Source organism: Homo sapiens, chromosome 14 (genome assembly GCF_000001405.40).
Source record: "Homo sapiens chromosome 14, GRCh38.p14 Primary Assembly".
Taxonomy (NCBI): Eukaryota; Metazoa; Chordata; class Mammalia; order Primates; family Hominidae; genus Homo; species Homo sapiens.
The window spans coordinates 43,460,295-43,482,467 of NC_000014.9; the positions used below are offsets into that span (position 1 = coordinate 43,460,295).

Sequence of the window (22,173 nt, forward strand, 5' to 3'; positions counted from 1 at the left end):
GTGGATCACCAGGTCAGGAGTTCAAGACCAGCCTGGCCAAGATGGTGAAACCCCATCTCTATTAAAAATACAAAAATTAGCTGGGCTAGTGGTGGGTTCCTGTAATCCCAGCTACTCGGGAAGCTGAGGCAGAGAATTGCTTGAACCAGGGAGGTGGAGTTTGCAGCAAGCTGAGATCACGCCACTGCACTCCAGCCTGGGCGACACAGCAAGACTCCATCAAAAAAAAAAAAAAAAAAAAAAGATTACTCTGGCTTTTTGTTGAACAGTATATGATGTTTCTAAGTGTGGTAATTTTATGCTGTCACTCAGACTCTTGGTTGGCAGCGATGGCAGCTGGTGAAAAGGTTGACAAATTTGCAAACATTTGAAAGGGCATACGGCAAACAAAAAAGGAAAAATAAGGTAACAAGCCCTTTGTGAGAAAAGATATTCAGGAACCTCCTTATTTTTTGCAGCTGAGATCTAAAAGCAAACAAACACAAATGCAAAGATTTCAAGGGCCCTGTAGCTGTGGAATTGAATGCTCTGTATTGTTGACCTAAGACCAACAACAGAATCTAGATGTTGAATGAGAAACTGGTTCAAGCATAGCAGGTGATTAAATCAGGCATCCTCATCATATTCAGAGGAATAGAACATAATGGCAGTTCACCCTTTATCACTGTAGTTGTAGCCTTCAAAGGCAAAGTCTAGGTCAAAAGAATACTGTAGTAAAGGACAAAAAAGCATCTGACATGCATTCAACATAGAAACTGTGTGGGACAGCCCCTAAATCAATAGCAGTAGATGCACAGATATTTAAATATGTGAACTATCAAAGCCCTTTTAGGGTTTGTTTGCCCTGATTTTAGAAGCAGGACTGACAAACTTAGATTAGGTTGGCCTAATTTAAGATTCTTAGATCAGCACTCTTAGCAATAGAGAAGAGGAAACTCAAGACATTGATCCTTGTCTTTGCACTAATTTGGTCATTTGATGCTGTAAGGTATTAAATATATATATATATGTATATATGTGTGTGTATGTATATATATATATATATATATATATATATATGAAACAGTATTATCTCCATGGTCACTAGCTAGTATATCTCCATAGTAATTAGGTCTGTGTGATTTAATTCTATGTGCTTTTATTTTGTTACTTTTACTAACTTTTAGTTTCTAAAATTTCTACCATAAACATATATTGATGCACTTGTTAAATCAAAGATAATCATTGATACCCTTAAGCAATGACTGCTTTATGTTGCTTGAATCTAATTATCCTGCAGAGAAAAATTAGAAAACCTGTGAGGTATGGGGAACAGTGATGTCTGTCTGACAGCATTGGAGAGTTATCAAGGCAGTGAGCTTTCTCAGAATAAAATGAAGAGGTGAAGCAAGAGAGCTAAATTCAATTGGGGGAGCTGCTTTTTTCTTTGAGACAATTATGAATTCTAAAGTAAAAGTGTCATTGTAAAAGTTTAGACAAAAGCAGACTTAGAAAAGCTGGAGAGAAAAAAAAATGAAATTCACATGACACCAAGAATGAGGGTCCTGATAAATAGCCAGGGCTGTACTTAGGGCACTAAATGTTAGAAGTAAAGGGAAAAAAGACAAAAACGGCCTTCAAAAGGAATAAAGCTCAGCTTTGACTCAATTCTGCCTCCAGAAAAACTGCCTGCCAAATAAAAAAAACAAAACAAAAACAAAACAAACAAACAAAAAAACTATGCCAGGAAGAAGATAAAATCACCCAGAATCTTAATAGTTTTCAGCCTAATGTGTTTTTAATTATTTATTGATACATAATAGATGTATATATTTTGGGGGTACATGTGATAATTTGATGCATTTATATAATCAAGGCAGGGTAATTAAGATATCCATCATCTTAAATATTTATCTTTTCTTTATGCTGGGAACATTTAAATCATTCTCTTCAAGCTATTTTGAAATGCACAATAGACTAATGTTAACTATCATCACCTTATGGATCTATTGAACACCAGGGCCTATATCTTCTATGTAACTGTATATTTGTATCAATTAATCAACTCCTTTATATCCCTTCCTTCTCCTAGCCCTACCTGGCCTCTGATAATCACAAATCTACTCTCTATCTTTATGAAACCCACATAAGAGTGAGAACATGTGATATTTCTCTTTCTGTGACTGTCTTGTTTCACTGAATGTAATGACCTCTAGTTCCATCCAAACTGTTGAAAATGATTGGATTTCATTCTCTTATGGCTGAATAATATTCTATTGTGTGTGTGTATATACATATATTATATATATATATATTACATTTTCTTTATTCATTTGTCAATCGATAGACATCAATGGATTGATTCCATATTTTGGGTATTGTGAATTGTGCTGCAATAAACACAGGTGTAGCTATCGCTTCGATATACCAATTTTCTTTTTTGTAGGTATATACCCAGTAGTGTAATTGGTGCTGGACCATATTTAGTTTTATTTTTAGCTTTCAGAGGTTTTATTTTTGGCTTTTAGCTCCATATTGTTTTTCATAGTGGCTGTACTAATTTACATTCCCACCAACAGAGTATGTGGGGTCCCTTTTCTCCACATCCTGACCAACATATGCTCTTCCCTCTTTCTGACAAAAGTAGTTCTAACTGGGGTGAGATTATCTCTTACTGTGGCTTTGATTTGCATTTCCCTGATAATTAATGATGTTGAACATTTTTTATGTACCTACTGGCCATTTGTATGTCTTCTTTTAAGAAATGTCTATTCAGATTTTTGGCCCATTTTTAAGCTGGATTTTTTTGTATTGTTTGAGCTCTTTATATATTCTGGTTATTAATCTTTTTCAGATGGAGAGTGTGCAAATATTTTCTTCCACTCTGTGGATTATGTTTCTTTGTTGATTATTCTCTTTGCTGTGTAGAAGACTTTTAGCTTTATGGCATTACATATATGTATTTTTGCTTTTGTTGTCTGCTTTTGAGGTCTTACAGAAAAAGTCTTTGCCCAGATAAATGTCCTGGACTCTTTCCTTACCAATTTTTTTCTGGTAGTTTCATGGTTTGGGGACTTAGATTCACATCTTTCATTCATTTGGATTTGATTTTTGTATATAGTGAGAGACAGGGGTCCAATTTTATTATTCTGCACACAGTCATCCAGTTTTCTCAGCACCATTTATTGAAGAAATTGCTGTTTTCCTATTGTGTGTCTTGGTGCCTTTGTCAATAAAAAGGCAGCTGTGAAATGTATGGATTTATATCTGGGTTCTCTTTTTGGTCTCGTTAGTCTATGGTTCTGTTCTTATGCCAGTGCCATACTGATTTGAAAACTATAGCTTTATAGCATATTTTGAAATCAGGTAGTGTCATGCATCCAGCTTTATTATTTTTACTTAAGATTGCTTTGGCTCTTCAGGGTCTTCTGTGGTTCCATATAAATCTCAGGGTTGTTTTTATTATTCTGTGAAGACTGTCATTGGTATTTTGATAGGGATGGTGTTGAATCTGTAAATTGCTTTGGGTAGTACCACCAATTTAACAATATTAAGTTTTTGGTTCATGAGCATAAAATATCTTCCCACGTTTATATATCCTCTTCAATTTGTTTCATCAATGCTTTATGGTTTTTTGTATAGATCTTTTGTACATTTAAATTGATTCCTAGCTATCTGATACTCTTGTTGCTATTGTAAATAAAATTGCTCTTTGGTTTCTTTTTCAAATTGTTTGCTGTTAGTGTATGTAAATGCTACTCCTTTTGTACGTTGATTTTATACCATGCAACTTTACTGAATTTGTTTATCATTTTTTAAAGTTTTTTGGTGGAGTCTTTAGGCTTTACTAAATGTAAGCTCTTGTCATTTGCATCCAAGGCTGATTTGACTTGATTCCAATTTGGATGCCCTTTATTTCTTACTTTTGTTTAACTGCTCGGACAAGGACGTTCAGCATCACGTTGAGTAACAGTGGTGAATGTGGGCATCCTTCTCATGTTCCAGAACTTAGAGGAAAGGCTTTCAATTTTTCCCAATTTAGTATGCTGTTGGGTGTGGGTTTATTATGGCCTTCATTATTTTGAGGTATGTTCCTTCTATAGCCAGCCTTTATTATTTTGAGGTATGTTCCTTCTATAGCCAGTTCATTCTATAACTGGCTATAGAAGGAACATACCTCAAAATAATGTGTGCAGAATAATATGAGAGTTTTTAATCATAAAGCATTTTATCAAATGCTTTTTCAGCATCTATTGAAATGATCATATTGTTTTTTTCTCAGTCCTGTTAATATGATGTATTACGTTTATTGATTTGCATATGTTATAAAACATCCTACATCCCTGGAATGAATATCACCTGATCATGGTGAATGATCTTTTTAATGTGTTGTTGAATTCAGTTTGCATTTTGTTGAGCTTTATATCTATGTTCACCAATAATATTGGCCTGTAGCCTGATTTTGGTATCAGAAGAATGCTAGCCCCATAAATAACTTTTTAAACTTTCATTTATGTCACTGAAATTATGGTGATTTTTTGTCCATGAAAAGATATACATGGTTTTAATTATATTACTATCAAATATTTAGACCCATTTTCTTCAAAAACTTTAAGAATTTTTTAGTAATCAGCATTTTATTTTTAAAACAAATAGGGAAATGCATATATTAAATATATGGCTAAAGTTATTAATTGTTTTATAATGGATCAATCACATTTCAACAGTGTAGTTATAGTCTCTGAAAGCCACTCATTCTTCTCATGCCTTGTTGCAGATTTAGCTTAAAATCTTAGTTGAAAATATGGCTCATAAACTTTCATATCTAATAAATCATAAGCAATGTTTATGAAATATGGCTCATAAACTTTCACATCTAATGAATCATAAGCAATGTTTACCTTCATTTCATGTAAAGTTTAACAGACACATGGGAGACTTTTATAAGGAAGTCACTATATTTAAAAATAATGAGAGTTAAGGAAAGAGCAGAGGCTATAATTCCAGGCATAAAGAAAGAATAAAGTATGAAATGAGGAATAAAATGATTGGAAATGGAAATGGAAATGATGACGAGTGCCAGTAATTATGAACAGGAAAGATTTATAAGACTCAAGCTTTTGTGTCTTTGTGTTTTTTTTTGTTTTTGTTTTTGACTTAAAATATTGCTAATAAATCTTTAATTCTTATTTTAATTGCTTTAAATTTTAGGACCAAAAACACATTGAGTTTCAGTTACTAGCTCAAAATAAACCTTATTGCCACTTTTTTTTTTTTTTTTTTTTTTTTAAAGACAAGTTCTTGGTGTGTTGCTGAGGCTGGAGGACAGTGGCATGATCACAGCTCACTGCAACCTGGTCCTTCCAGGCCCAAGCAATACTCCCACCTCAGCCTCCCATGTAGCTGGGACTACAGGTGCTTGACAACATACCCAATTAGTTTTTGTATTTTTTTCTAGAGACCAGGTCTTACTGTGTTCCCCAAGATGGTCTCAAATTCCTGGTCTCAAGTAATCCTCCTGCCTCAACCTCCCAAAGTGCTGGAATTATGTCACTTCTTCATCTCACATAGCATTATATGTATACAGTCTGACTTAAATATGTTTAGAAAAATGGTGAGTTTCTTCCTTTCATCTGAAATGGCTTTTTTTTTTAATTTACCTTTGCTATAAGTTTCACTGAGAGACCAAACTTTTATTTCCCAATACCTTCCATTCTAATAAGCTCTGCCTCCAGCTTATCTTCAGAATTTCTCCATATTTTTTACATAACCTATTCCCAGGACACAGTGTATAGCTGCACAAGAAGAATATTTTAACATCTATAAAATAACAGCTCTAATATTTAGAAATATAAAACCTAGTTATGTCTCCATTAGTTATTAAAACACAATTGCATTAGTAGTTGAAATATTTCAGAGTGGAAAACCCTCCCTCATTGGATTCATATTGTTGCTACATATATTAAGGTGAAACTTTAATATTCTTTCTCTAAATGAAAAAATAGCCCTTTTGTTGTTTTTTATTCTCTCAGGAATAAAACAGTGTCTGGAATCACTCTTTATTGATGTGAGTGAGCACAAGATAGGAAAATCACATGTATTTACAGATAAGACTCCTGTAATCCTTGGGGAGATTAATCTGGTAATTTAAATAAGAAAGCCCCAAGAAGGTCCCAATGCTAAATCAAACTATGCTCAGGATGACACTGAACTTAGATCCAAGGAGATAGTTGCCATTCTCAATATCATATGGCAACAAGGCCTCTGGGTAGTCAGGAGTCTGTGCTACTCCTCTTCCAGCCATTTGCTGAATACTGTTTGAGTTTCAAAACAATGTGAACAGCATAAAACATGCTAAATCTTCTGAAGTGTTATAGATGTTACAGATTGATTTATTTTAGTAACAATTTCAATAAATTATTAATCCTTTAATAAATAATAGATTTCTAAAGAAAATTACCATGCATTGTACTATAAACATGCCTATTTTATTACATACTTATAATCCATTTCAAAGAAATATGTATGGGATCTTATAATTCCATAAAACCACATGATAATCTCAGTTTATATATTTCTTGTGACTAAGTAAAATAAGGAATTTATTTTACAATGTAACAATCTGTAGTTTTAAGGTCTTAAAAAGTCAAAAAATATAGATCAATATTTACTGGATATATAGTTACCCTACTAGCCTCATAGAAATTGAATGTAACACAATTTTCCACAGAATCAAAAAAAAATTTATATTCATAATCCCTCTCAAATGTACAAGAAAAATTAAATGTAGTGAAAAGCAACACACGCAATCTAGAGAGAAACTGAGGAATAGAAAATGTGAGAATATCCGTCAAGAGGCTATGTTTTGAGGAAGTAAGCAGTGCTAAAAGTTATTCCTCAATTGTTGAGCACATATGTATAAGACTATTTTACTAGTTTAAACATTTGTATGACATTTGGTTCAACAAATAAGGTTTCAGCACTTACTGTTTTTTCTCTATATCATTTACTGGCTTTGAGTTATCAAGAATTGTTGCATTATTCTTCAAAATTAGAGCTATTGTAGCATAATATATGTGAAGCCAGTTAACTACACTGTTGGCTTTGAAAACTCTTAAATAATCCTTGAAAACTTAATGCCCCTTAATTGTTTTCATGTCTCTTCTTTTATTTATTCAGTCATTTGTCCTTCTAATGTTTTGATGTATTTCTCCATTTTTTTTTTATATTCTAACTCCTCTTCCTTTCTTTGGTACCTTAAAATTACACGTGTTCAGTACCTGTGCTTTCTATTATCTAAATATATTTTAATGGATTTATTGTCTCCTTCTTGTCTGCCTGTTACTATTCAAATATATAATTAAACTGTGTCTCCACTATAATTAATTTCTACTTTTTCTTTTCCCATATTTCAGAGAAGTCAATTTCATCAAAGTCCTCACTTGCCACTAAGTGCTCCAATTTTCCTATTTTGATTATTCAGCTTATAGAATTTGAATTATAAAATTTTGTGCTTGGAATTGAGATTTCTAAACCATTTTAACCAGTTATTTAATTAAAAGATAAAATTATTTCTATTTAATTTTACAGACATTTTCTGCTCCGTGATTTTTGTGAGATTTTCAGGGTTTTCAGCCATTTTTCATACTTCCAGAAAGTCCTCAACATAACAATTTTTAATAAATGCATAGTTATAAGTAGAAGAAATTACAAATTACATAGTTTCATAGAAGAAAGATGAAGAGGAAATTGACTAACAATCACTAGGTAACCCAACTGTGTACAGCCAGAAACCTGGTGCTTTCTTGTTGTTGTTGCTCTTGTTATTTCCACTTAGTTGGGATCCATACTTCCTCTTTATGCCCCCAACAAAATATTCACCTTAGTTCCCAGTAAATTCAGTGTTATTTATTTATTATATTCATTGATAATTAGGAAAAACTTTTTTCAGAACAATAAATATACATTTAAAAGTCTGGCATATTTAGAGATATTTTACGATATTTAAGTTGTGAGCAAATAAACATTGGCCTCACATTTCCTAACAACATTTGAATGTTCAAAAAAAATTGTAGCATAAAATATTTAAAAATATTTAAAGATAGGAGAGTGATTCACTAGAATGCAATGGAGAAACTAGAGAAAAAAAATATTTGGCCTCAGCCAGATATATTTTCTAACATCAAAAGACTGCTCTAAATAAGACATTTGGAGACCAATATTGTAATAAAATATTTAAAGGACAGAGAAATACATCACTAGGTCAGACGTTGCAATCTAAAGAAGAAGTTAGATAAGTTACACAGGAAATTGTTTCTTCATTTTTTTTAGATAAAGCAATAATAATAGGAAAAGGCAAAGAAAAAAGTCATTGTAAATAAACTTCTGAAGACAAGAATAGTACGATTTGTTTTGAGGAATAATTTTATGCCAAGAATGATCTAAAAGTCTAGTTTTAACTGTAACAGCAGTATTCAGATTATATGCTTCCCAAAAAAGGCATTTCAAGTATAAAGAAACAAATAGGGTAGCATAATAAGAAAGGAAATTATCCAGTGATAACACTAACTATAGTAAGCAAAGGAGGCCAAAATAATATCATACAAATATATTCAAAACAGTAATATTTCTAGAAAAAATGTTATTATTTAATGATAAAGATGAGAATTTTTCAAAAGAAAATAAAAATCTTATATGTTCATGCACCACAAAGCAGAGATCCAAAATGAAGCAAAAAAACAAAACCCTGAAAGTATAAATAAATAAATCTATATTACACTAAAATATTTCAACACTTCTTTCTAAATAATTCATGGAACAAATAAAGAGAAAACCAATAAGCATATAGAAGACATGAAGAATACTATTAACTCACTTAAGTTAACATTTGTAGAAGTCTCTCTCCAATAACAGCAAACTACACAAAAGAGTTACCAAAATTGAACATTATTTGGAAAAAATATATGTTCATTAATAAAAATTTAAATTACACAAATTGGAAATCATCATTCTCAGTAAACTATCCCAAGAACAAAAAACCAAACACCGCATATTCTCACTCATAGGTGGGAACTGAACAATGAGATCACATGGACACAGGAAGGGGAATATCACACTCTGGGGACTGTGGTGGGGAGCGGGGAGGGATAGCATTGGGAGATATACCTAATGCTAGATGACGAGTTAGTGGGTGCAGCGCACCAGCACGGCACATGTATACATATGTAACTAACCTGCACAATGTGCACATGTACCCTAAAACTTAAAGTATAATAAAAATAAATAAATAAATAAATAAATGAAAATTTAAAATAAAAAAAGATTTATATTTAATCTATCTTCTATTTGGGGTATATATACCATTTAGAAGAAAATTGGTTATTGATACGTTTAGTTTTAACTCTAACATCAATTTTTTCTTTTTCATTTTGTCTCATTCTTCACTATTTTTCTTTGGTTTCTTTCTTTTGTATTAATTCACTATTTTGTCTAATTCTATTTTATCTCCCTTGTGGGATTATCAGTTCTACCACTTGTATATCTGTCCATGCATGTTCTTTTTTAAGTTGATATATATTTTAACAATTTATTGACAAGTACTATAGAATTACTCCAAATATAAGAATATTAGAATAGTAAATTTTCATTTTAGTCCTCACAATTTTTGTGCTTTTGTTTCATAGATTGTATTTCTAGAATTGATATAAAACCCACATTGCTTTACTATAATGCTTGATCTAAATAGTCAATAATATTTAAAAGAGATTTTTAAAATAAGAAAAAGATAAAAAAAATAAGAAAAAGAAAACATTTCTGGCGCTCTTCATTTCTTTTTGCAAGTCTAGATTTGTACCTGGTATCATTGCCTTTCTGCTAGAAGGAAGATTTTTTTATTTAACATTTCCTGAAGTAGTAATTGCTAATGGTAAATTCTTTCGATTTTCATATGCCATAAAAAAGTCTTTATTCTGCCATCCTTTTCAAAATATGTTTGATTAGTATATAATTCTAGGTTTAAAGTGTTTTCAAAACTACTTTAAAGTTCCACTCTCTTTCAACTAGCTTTGATTCTGACAAAAAAAAAATCTGCTGTAATTTGTACTAATTTGTATATTTGTTCTTATTTTTTCAGTCTGCTTTTAAGATTGGTTTTCAGAATTGTTTATTTTGATGTTTCTTGTAGTTCTTTTCATAATTTTTGTTTGTTTGCTTGTTTGGAGGCTAGTTGAGCTTCTAGGATTTATAGGTTTATAGTTCTCATCAAATTTGGAAATTTTTCACTCATATTTTTCCACCCCCTTTTTTCTAATTTAGTTTACACTAGGTCACATTAATTTTGTTTACATACTATTAATTCTCTGACAATATGTCTACTTTAAAAAATCTACTTCATTTCATCTTATGTTAAAAGAAAAGCTTTATGGGAGCAAAGAACAATTCATAAATTAGGCAGCACTCAGAACCACAAAAGATTCAGAGAGCTCTGCTCAGCAAATGAGCAGTGAATGTAGACAGAACATGAAAGTAAAGAAGAGGAATAGCTTAATTAGTTACAGCTAGGTGTTGTCTTCTGCAGACATGATTTGATCAGTTGGCTGCCTGTGATGAGCTGAAGCTCAGCTACTTGTGATTGGCTATCTGGTTATCTGTTAGAAGAAAAATACTCCTTTGTTAGGATTCATTTTATTTTTCGACTATGTTAGGTTGCTATTGATTAAGTAGAAATTCAGAGTACAGAGATACCCTCAGGCCAAATTTAATTTAACACTTGTTTCTATTTTTATACCTTCAATTACAATAAGACTTCTTCTTCAGTGTTTAATATGCTTTTAGTTTTACCCAGTGCATTTTTTTCATCTAAAACTTGGATTTTTCATGTGTACAATATGACTAGGATCTGTTTTATGTCTTCTACATTTTTCCTTTACATGCTATGCTTTTCTCTATCTTCTTGTACATAGAATATAATTATAATTATTTCAGTTGCCTTGTTTACTAATTATCACATCCATGTTCAAACTGGATCTGAATGTAGATATTGTAATTTCATCTTATTGTGAGTTGGATAATTTTATATTCCTTTTCATATTCTCAAGCTTTGGCCTGAGGCAGTTAAGTTACTTTCAAATGGCTCAATTCTTTTGAAACTAGCCTTGAATCTCTGTTAAGATGAGACAAAAGACTCCTTTAGCCTTGAGCTAATTGTACCCTGTTACTGAGGCAATACCTTTCTGGGTAATTTTCTCAATCCTCTGGGTATATTGAGGTTGCCTACTGTGGCTGATGAGGAGGCCAGCTATTATTTCTAGCCTTCTCTGTCCATTGAGCATTGTTCTATCTGCTTCTTTTCAGTAGTTATTTGCCCTGCAGTTTCCTCACATGTGTGCACTGATCAATACTTAAGCCTGAAACTGTCTGCAGCACTCCAGATCTTTATTTCTCTTTTACTTTGCAACTTGTTCTCTCTGTAGTTCTACTCTCTTCGCTCTCTCTCTCTTCCCTCAGCACAACCCTCTCCATCTCTACACTTCCTCTCACCTCTGCCCTGTGAATTCTAATTGCATTTGCTGCCCCAAATCCTCTTTAACTCATTCAGACCACTGAGCTCTGGATTTTTCCTCTCTGAGCTGCAGCCTGAGAACTTTCTCCAAGCAGCAAACTGGAGCAATATAGAGATTACCAATTTTTATTGTTTGTTTTGTTTTGTTTTTTGGCTCCAAGGAATCTCTGGCTAGCACTGCCTACTTTTTGTTGTTCAATATCTGAAAACTGTTTACTGTGAGAATGTATATATAATCCCATTGCTCCATTCCATCATGGCCAGATGTGAAAGACTATACTACATATTAATCTGATGTAGTTTTAGGCTTCTTAATTTTTATTTGATATTTCCAATTTTTCAGACATCTTTCATATCTATGCTGTAATTCCCTGAACATAAGTTCTTCATATCAAATATATATAATCATAAGATCAATTTTCATTATATTTTCCTCATGCTGCACAGCTACAACACAAAGCTATTCTTATTATTATGAGCATAAGCTTTTTAAATTTTTAATTAGTTAATATTAATTTTTTTAAATTTTATCTTTTGTATTTAGTTCTTTACCCCATTTGGTATCTTTGCATACCATATTACTAAGGAACTGATTTTATATTTTTTATATAATGAGAAATTTTTCTTTTTACTATTCCCAAAGTGTTACATTCTTTCCATTGCTTTATTTGCTTGTTCTTGTATAATTTCTATAGGAATTTTTAAACTATTAATTTAAAGTAGTGTTTCTCTTTTCCTTTTATTGAAGTGTTAATATGTGTATACAAAAGAGGTCGCATAAGGGAACAGCTCAATGAATTTTCGTAAAGTGGATATGCTTCTTTTAGCTGCATCAAGAGTAAGAAAATGTGTCATTATGTGAAAAGCAATCTTCCTGTTTTATACCAGTCACTAACCCCTAGAATGAAGACTATCCCGATTTCTAATAAAATATATTATTTTTGTCTTTTTTGGCTCCGTTAACATAAATAGAAAGGTAAAAAATGCATTCTTTTGAGTTAGGGTTTCTTCCATCAGTATTATGTTTTTGAGACATATCCATATTACTGTGTGGAGTTGTGGCTTTTTTCATTATCAAAGTTGTATATTATCCATTATTATATAAATATACTGCAATTCATTCATCCATTTTATCTGTTTATGTGCATTTGGGCCATTTCAAGGTTGTATCTATTAGAAATACTGCTAGTGGTGGAGGATGGTGGACTATACCTGTAATCCCAATGCTGCGGAAGACCGAGGAAGGAGGATTGCTGTTCTCAGGAGTTCAAAGCTGCAGTTAGCTATGATTATACCACTGTCCTCCAGCCTGGGCAACAGAGGGAGACCCTGTCTCAAAAAAAAAAAAAGAAAGAAAGGAAAGAAAGAAAGAAAGAAAGAAAGAAAGAAAGAAAGAAAGAAAGAAAGAAAGAAAGAAAGAGAAAAAGAAAATAAAAGACAGAAAAAAAATATTGTTACTGCCAGTAAGAACAGTACTTTTCTGTCAAATATACCACTATGTTGGTAGTTGCTCAATCACATACACATACACATACACACATACACAGACACCCCCAGATTTGGCAAATACTGATAAATAGTATATTAATTAAACCCCCATCAGCAATGTATGAAGCTGTTAGTTCTTTCCATATCCTTGTAAACACTTGAAGTTACATCCTTTTTTTTCATTTTAGTCATTCAATTGTATCTGTACTAGTAGAGAACTATAATTTAACTGTGAATAACTAATGTAGTTCAATAACATTTTATATTTAATTGTGTTCATTATAAACTGGTAGGACAATCACTCATTCTTTTGTTTTTCTTTTTGAAAGAAGAAGAAGTTATTTAAGGATCTTTATTCTTCTATATACGTTTTCCATCTTTCTAGATATTTAGTAGAAAAATGTTTTTATTGCATTGACTATATAGATTAACTTGGAGAAAGTATATCTGTATTCTGTTTTTTATATTGGTTATTATTTTCTAATTTGTTTTATCTCAAACATACAGAAAGTACAAACGAAATATACAGACAACATTTTAAAACAATACATATAGAAAATATAACATCTCACAATTAATTCTGAGATTTAACAAATTATTAGCATTCTGCCATACTTTTTCCCATTTTTAAAAACAATATTCTTAATAGGCCATTAAAAATATACTTACCTGTCTGTGTTCCCCTACTAGAACTTACACTTATTAATAGGCTCGATAATATGAAATTTTCCATACTTATACACTTTTGACATAACAGCAGCAATTTCCTGTGACTCAACCTAGCAACATTTGCATCTGTATCACTTAAGATCATTTCTATCCCATAGTGATGCTCAATACCTTGTATATTGAGTTCTCAATAAAAGCTAATTATCAAATTAAGATACACGATAGCAGCATTCTTAAAAATATTTTTCACATTTATGTATCTCCACAAATAATTATCAAATGAACAATTAAATCATCTCTCCAGTTTCCATAAATTCTCCCAGGAATGTATAGCCTGTTTTTCACAAAATAAATGAACCCAATTTTCCTCCTGTAAATTCCTATGAATGGGCTTATCATCTTATGTGTTTCAGCACTCTCAGCTGTTTTTTCACTGCTGTCATAAAATGTGGGAAGCTGGTTTTTAGCAACTTATGCTCTTTTTAATGTACTGAATATAGTATAATTGTGACTTAGAAAAGTGACGACTATAAACCTTAACTGTATGTAAATTAAGAATAAATATAATTTGCAAGAGAGTTTAGAAATCTTTCTTGAGTAGAATGGATTAAGTCTAGTTCATGAATTTTGATATCTGTAGATTAGTTGTTTATTTAGATATCTTTCTCATGTACATACTGTTAGTTGACTGTGTTACAATTAATATATATCATCAGGTATTTGAAATACCAGAGGCAAGATGGCTTTGTAAAAGTAGAAAATAAAATTTACCTAAAAGTTTAGAATATTCAGCACTAGCTTTTGAAGGGGTTTTACAATAATCTCATCTGTTTCATATTTTATTGTTTTAAAATTTATGTTTAATTCTGATGTCTAATTCTTAAAATCATATGTGTTATTTTCTCTTCAGACACTGTTTTACAACACCATAAATATTTCTGTTATATACAAAATAGCCATTCTAGCTATATGTTTTATGTCATAAGTTTCTGAATTTGAAAAGAAATGGATAAACATGCTTAAATATGGTGGTATCAAAAAATAGACATCTTGTGTTTTCTATGGCATATGGAATAGGTTGCATTGAAACATTTATGTTTTTCAGATAACCAAAGCATATTAAAGCATTTAATTTGTTTCATTTGGATGTTAAAAAAAAGAAAAGTTAAAAGACCATATGTATTTCTTTATTCCTTGAACTAAGATTGGATATAGAGCTCAATCTGGGTGGTAGTTAACACAAGTGTCTACTTACGTACAAATTTATAAAACTACATAAATTAAGATTATTAAGCTTCACATACCATACTATTTGTTATACCTCAATAAAAAATTTAAAAAAATATGTACACAGAAAGTACTGGTCATATTGAAACACTTCTAAAAATTTCATATTCTTTTTAGTTATTTAGAATAGATGGTTGCTGAATATTTTCTAAAATATATTGGATCATTTCACAGTGTTTCTGCATCTCTCACTCCACAAAGCAAACTGTCATTTTTATATGAATAATATCATCTTAGAATTGAATTTTTTTAAATGGCAAAGAAACTCTTACATGAGAAAACTCATTTTAAAACACAGAATTTTATTGAGCCATCTGGTATGGACTAAATTCTGTTTCCCCTAAATTCATATGTCGAAGCCCTAAACCCCAGTGTGACCATATTTGGCGAGAGAGCCTTTAAGGAGATAATAAAGGTTAAATGAGATAAAAAAGTTGGGGTCCTAATCTAATAGAAACAAGTGTCCTTATAAGAAGAGGAAGAAACACCAGGGCTATTCATAGGCAGAGTATAGAACATAGCAGGAAGACAGCCATCTGCAAGCTAAAAATAGAGGTGTCAGGAGAAACTAAACCTGCTGACACCTTGATCTTGGACTTACAGCCTCTAGCATTGTGGGAAAGCAGAAATGTTTCTTAACTCACCCAGTTAGTTGTACTTGTTATGATAGCACTAGCAAATGAATCACTAACCACCTTAAGGTTCATATTACATAGTAACCCTTCCTGTCTCTCTGTGTACATAACATGTTTATGGTGCTTTGTGTTTACAGCATATCAAACTTAGGAAAACTCTACTTCTTTTAAGAAATGTAGAAGACATTTGACAGTTTTGTCTTTCCATTTGAACATAAACCTCCAAAAATGCAGAAATACATTATATCGTCTGTCATGCTATGTTGAATAAGACTGTCATCAAAACTTTGTACTATGGTTATACATTAACTACACAACTACTTATTTGGTGAAAACCAAACAAAGCTAATGGGTTAAAAAAAATAAGATGCCTTGTGTTTTGGGAAGCATAATTCCACACTCAAACTATTTGAAATGGTCCACTTAAAAACATAAAACTCTGAAGAAAGTGTATGGCTATAAATAATATAAAAGAAAAGCTATACAACTATATTCATTAAAAAGAAACATAAATAATTTTTAAAAGCAAAAAAAATTAATATAAGGTTTAAACTATGACCACACTTTAAATAAAAAAATTAGTGCTCCATTGATATATTTAAGACTTAAAAATCTGTTTCTTACATTTGATGTCAAACAGTTCAAATTTTATAAATGTATTATAATAAAATTTGAGATATAGGATTTTGAGATAAATTGTTACGTTTTAGAAGTAACTAAGAAAATGACTGAATTATTTTGAAAATGTTGCTACTTACATGCTAGAACATACATCGATTTCTTAAATAGTAAAGTGCATTTAAAATAAGAATGTGTAATATGTTTCTATTATAATTATTTTCTTGGTATACACTGTATGTAGTCCAAATAAATATTTTTGTTAAATTAGAAATTGTTTCTAAGTAAAATAATGTCAAAGTATACTTGAAACTCTAAATTTTTATATACTGTACCAAAGGTCCAAGTATGAGTAAAGCAGTAGATATTACAGAGTTTTAAAATGTTGAAAGTAATTTCAGATCACTGGGTTATGTAATGAATTTAATACTGCTGTTACATATTTTCAGCACTCATGTTAACAAGTTTGACGATGAAGAAAGTCAGAATTTTTTGCTTAGCTACACATTATTTTGAAGGTTTTTATTATTGAGACATGAAAATATTGAAATGCCTGGATTTTACTATCAATATTTTATGAATGTTCTGTAGAAATTCTAACTCTGACATTGATCTATTTATGAGGTGAAAAATATCATTTAAAAAAATTGGTACATTGGCGATTTGCAGCTGGCTCAGTTTCTTATGGCTTGATAGAGGTTGAAAAATGTGATAACAAATAATCATCTGCTCAGGAAAAAAAAAAAAGGAAAAATGAAGCTTTAAAGGTTTCTTAAAATGATAGGAGAAAACAGGGAAGGAAGATAACCGCATTGGTGATAGAAGCAAAAGAAAGGTAACAAGGAAACAATGGCAAATTTTTGAACCAGCAAGGAGAGAATACAGAGAAAAGAGAAAAAAAAGTCAGGATAATTTTTCCTGTTTTACACTTTAGTAATTACACTGTAATTTCAAAAGTTTTAGCTGACATATTTTTTATAACTTCCTCGTCCTAAGAGGGGAAAAAAAAAGAAATCCTTGGAAAACCAATCCTTTTAAAGTACACTGGTACTTACCAGCATTTAAAGTAGACTATAATTGTTGTTGAAAATATTATTGTACGTTTAAAATCTTTTGGACATTTATAACAAAATATTTTAATAATGGTTGATTATCGCTTGATTTTCCCTGAAAATGGAATTTTGACTGATTTCAATTTATTTGCTTGCATTTTTTCTGCCAAATTTTGCAAAATTAGCATATTTAATTTTTCAATAATGATTCAAAGCAGAAAGTCAAAATTTTCATGCAAGAAATATTTTTTTACTTCTCAAGCACATAAAATATTTTCAGGGGCAGAAGAAAAAAGTTTGATGTTGGAACTTCAGAAATGTCTCCCCACACAACACAAAATTGACCCATTGGGAGACATACTCCTTCCAAGGTAACTAATATAATTGTGTGTCCCAGCTTTACAGTCATGGGAAAGGGATCAAAAATCATAATAAAGAAGACTCCTCTGCTGCCAAAACTGGCTCTCACTGAAACAGGCCACAGAATTTCATCAGTAGCCTGGTGATGCTCATTCATCTTCCATGCCTATTACAATCTAGTACAACTCTAACACCTTTTATTCCAGGAATTAAATGTTCACATTCATTACCACCAATGTATATAAAATAAGAGGTAAAAAGATATAAATAGCAGGAAAAAAATATGAATAATGTCTTAGCCTGCTTGGGCTGCCATAACAAAATATCAGATACAGATAACTTAAAGAGAAATATATTTTCTCACAGTTCTGGATTCTAGAAATCTGAGATCATGGTGCCAAAATGGTTGGATTCCAGTGTGGGCTGTCTTCCTAGCTTGTAGATGGCTGCCGTCTCTCTATGTCCTCATATGGCAGCGAGAAAGAGCAACCAAGCTCTCTGGTGTCTCTGCTTATAAGGGCACTAATCCCCTCATGAATGTCCCACTCTCATGACTTTACTAAACCTAAATTACCTCCCCAATGCCATTTCCAAATAACAACACATTGGAGGTTAGGGCTTCAACATATGAATTTAGGTGAGGGTGGAAAGTACAATTCAGCCCATAGCACCTGAGAACTAAGACTCCTAAACCATCAAAACACAATGTCTTATGGAAACGAATAAATTGATTTATGTGTGGAGTATTTGATATGAAAAAATGTGGGCCTATTTTCATTTCCTTGGTAGCTGGACTCTGCATTTTTCAAAAGGTCATCCTAACATCCTAAAAGGCCAAGGGTTACTAAGAGCTGAGAAAAAGAAAAACAGAGTAAAAGCAGTGAAATCCACACTCATCAGCCCATTGATTCCCCTCTTTCACTGTAAATTCAATGCTTTATTCTCATTAAAAAGACTTTAATCCTGTAGCTTTCAACTTCCAGCTGGTGTCAGCTTATCGTGCAGAACTATCTGTAAAGATGACTAAAATGTTGTCTTCCTCAGTTAACTGGTCATGGCTCTCACCAGGAGGCCATGGTAGTGGGCTGAGGGTGAAGGGCAATGTAATGAAAATAGGCACTGTGGGAGCATGACCCATGAGCTTGGACATCTTATGTGTGCTTTCAGGACAAACTTGAGGCTCTTCTCTATAGTATTTTTACTTGGTGGTACAGGACTACTGTCACACATTTCTGATTGGGTGGATTAGATAATGCCCATTCATTGGTCAGCTTAATTTGTATGCTTATTTGTAAGCCAGTGGTGTTTAGTCTACCCTCAGGCCCAGAGGGATTTTCTCCAAGCTCTAAGGACACACAACCTAATTCTCTTTGAGACCTGGCCACAGACTGTACACATGTACTAATATGCTACAGGAATTTTGAGTGTCGTTGGCTCTGCCAAGTCATATATGGCAGAGCTATATTCGCTCACTACAGCGTGGGCCAGTTCTCAGAGCCTATGTGAGGTCCAAACCCCCAATCTGAAATCTTGTAGCTTTAAAAGTTCATTGGTAAAAGAGAACACAATCAATTTGTCATATCTTACCTCCCAAGCCAAATGAAATAAGGATAATGAGACTTGTGCCCCACTTTTAGTTCCAAAGAATGAAATGGGCATCAACTTTGCCTTTCACTTTAAAGGGGAAATCCTAATACATGCCAAGTCAGAAGCACCAATAATCATGACTAAAGTAGAAAACCCCTGACATTTGATAGGTGTTATTTCTTTAAGCAAGCATGTGTCTTGCAAAATTTTAGAGTTTATCAACTATTTCTGCCTTATCATGTCTTAACAGCTTGTAAATATCAATGTGGTGAGCCAGCATAATGTCTTTTGAGATATTCAGTTACTCTCAAATCACACAAACTAAACTATGAGGGAAAACTGTAAAGGGGAAAGAGACAATAGAGGTTTAGTGCTGTCATTACAAGTTGAAAGCCAACTGCTGCTGGTGTTTTCTACTCATTGGTAGAGAACAAAACCTTTTGGCAGTTTTATAGCTGTGTAATAGGTGCCAGGGGCAATGCTAATTGCTCCTATAAAGAGACTACATCTGGAACAGCAATTGGGGTCATCATCAGATTTTATGTGCTTTGCTTCCCATTCCTGCCACGTTTCATCTGTACAGGCCAAACAGACACTCCATGGAGCTGTGATGGTAATAACCAACCTGAATCGTGGCACTTTCCCCATGAATGCAGTATTGCATTTATTATTCTCCTTTCGTGGGGTGGGTCTGGTTTAAGAGCTAATCCTTGGCTTCTCCTAACCACCAAATCTTCTGTGAAATGATTCATGTCAAAACTCTCCCACTTGACTCCAAGTATTACCTCTGGTGGTACAACATGCCATTATGCATCCTCAAAGTTAAGCATGTATTCAGAGCTAGTGATCAGTTACACCTGTAAATTATGCCAAGAAATGTCTAGTATATCATATTAATTTAGTGTGGACCACCTCCAACTCTAAGACTCTGTTATAGTCAAGCAACTGAGTCAACTGTTGGAACCACTCCTGACTACTCTAGGTGGCACATTACATTCAGAATTTCAAGTAAATATAGTCATATTGATTAAAATGCCCTAATTAATTATTTTCTTCTCTTTCTGGAACAGTTAGGATAAATTCTCACATAAACTGCTCAGATTTTTTGCCAATATAAATGGTGAAAAATTTTTAATATTTGGTATCTATATATTTATCTTGATCTTTTTATATGCCTCCTGAGACAAACTTATCAGAAATCTACTTATTGGCCTAGTGGCTATAAGGTAGTAGGAGTGTGCAGTAAAACAGGCTGGCACTTCTTTCCAAAGCAATTATATCCATTGAATAATTAAAAGGACTCCACCAAAAGATGAACAGACCTCAAGGGGTTTTGGACGCACAGAACTCATTTCCACATTAATCCACCTAAATGACCGCATTCCAATTGTCAAGCCCTGCTCTTTCTCAACCAATGATTTAAACTTCACATGAGAGACAAAGAAACTTATGAATTTAATTATCTTTTAACTCAATAGTATACAAGATAATACTGCATCTGATGGCTGGCTTTATTACCTTTGATATGTATATATGTCTGCCTTGAGCTGTGAATTGACAGCCCAGTGCTTGCGATTGTTATTCTTTCAGCTTTTCAAAAGCAGCTAGCCCATCTGTCAGTTTTTATATTCTTCATCTTCACCATAATACTCCAACATAACAATCACTCTATTCACTGAAGCCATGGCTTTCTTAGTATATTTTTTTTTGGCCACTGGTTTTCATAGACTACACAATTGTCATCCTCTAGGTATAACCACCAGGTCATTTCATTCTAAGCAGGCCAAGTAAGAAATCCAGATTTCCATATTTGAGCCTCTGTTTCCTGCATCTATCTCTGGTATCATCCAAGTCAAGTACTACAGGAAACAGAAAGCACTCTACATAGGTAGTTATAAACAGGTACTTTCACAAATTATGAGAACTGAAAGAGCAAGGTCTTGGATACCAATAAGGAATAATTAGCAGACACCATAGCACTTTCTGAAAACCACTGAGAATTGGACTCATAACTTCAAGCATAAACCCTGAAAATGAAATTTAAAGAATATAAAATTAGAATTAAAAAGCTGCCACCGCTGGTTTAGCGGCCTCTCAACATACTGGAAGCTGAATGAAAAGTCTTGATTGGTGGCTGCTAGAAATCTTCACAAGTCTACAACTCAGTTTGCCATCCAAAAATAATAATATTTTTAATTGTTCATGAATTCTAATTATAAGCAGACATTTATTGTCTACATGCTGCATACCAGGAATTATGTGAGATGATGGACAAACAACATCAGAGAGGTCTTCTCTAATCATTCTACCTAAGGTAGTACCTGATTCCTTTCAAAAGATATAACTGACAATACACATGAGCATGTGCGAAATTGGAAATCCAGTACCTCAATTAACAAAACTAACATAAACAACTTCTAGATTAACTATTTGCTCCAAACCAAACAATATTTTTAGTAAATTAGAAACATCCCTCTCATTCACTTCTCACAAGTGGAAGACAAAAATGAAGCAGAGGCTGTAATTGCCCCCTTTCCAGCAGAGGGGGTAATTACCCCCTTTACAGCAGAAGATGAACTTAGAGAGATGAAAGCACTTTCCTAAGATTATACTGTCCAGAAGGATATTACTATTCTAGTACCTTCTTTGCACTTATCGCTATCTGAAAATATCTTATATTTCATTAATTTATTGTCTTTTACCTTCTGAGAAGATGTAAATTTTGTGAGATCAAGAATATTAGAATCTGGTTGCACCATATATTTTTGAGTCTGAGAAAAGTCCCTGCCTAATAAATATAAGGTTAATAAATAAACTGGACAGAAAGATTTTTATGTATGGAATTTAGAGACTTGTGGGTCACACTTAGAGGTATCAGATACTCAAAATACAACAAAATAAGTGTCATTAGATTTGAAGTAAAGGGCACTATGAACGC

At 32.5% G+C, this 22,173-nt stretch overlaps 1 annotated feature.

Annotated features, from left to right (window-relative positions):
* Positions 18,343 to 18,887: an enhancer, noted in NCBI's record as "NANOG hESC enhancer chr14:43947840-43948384 (GRCh37/hg19 assembly coordinates)". NCBI's record gives its function as "activates a minimal SCP1, AML or CMV promoter by ChIP-STARR-seq in naive H9 embryonic stem cells {active_cell/tissue: H9 hESC(naive)}" and the evidence as "EXISTENCE:reporter gene assay evidence [ECO:0000049][PMID:30033119]".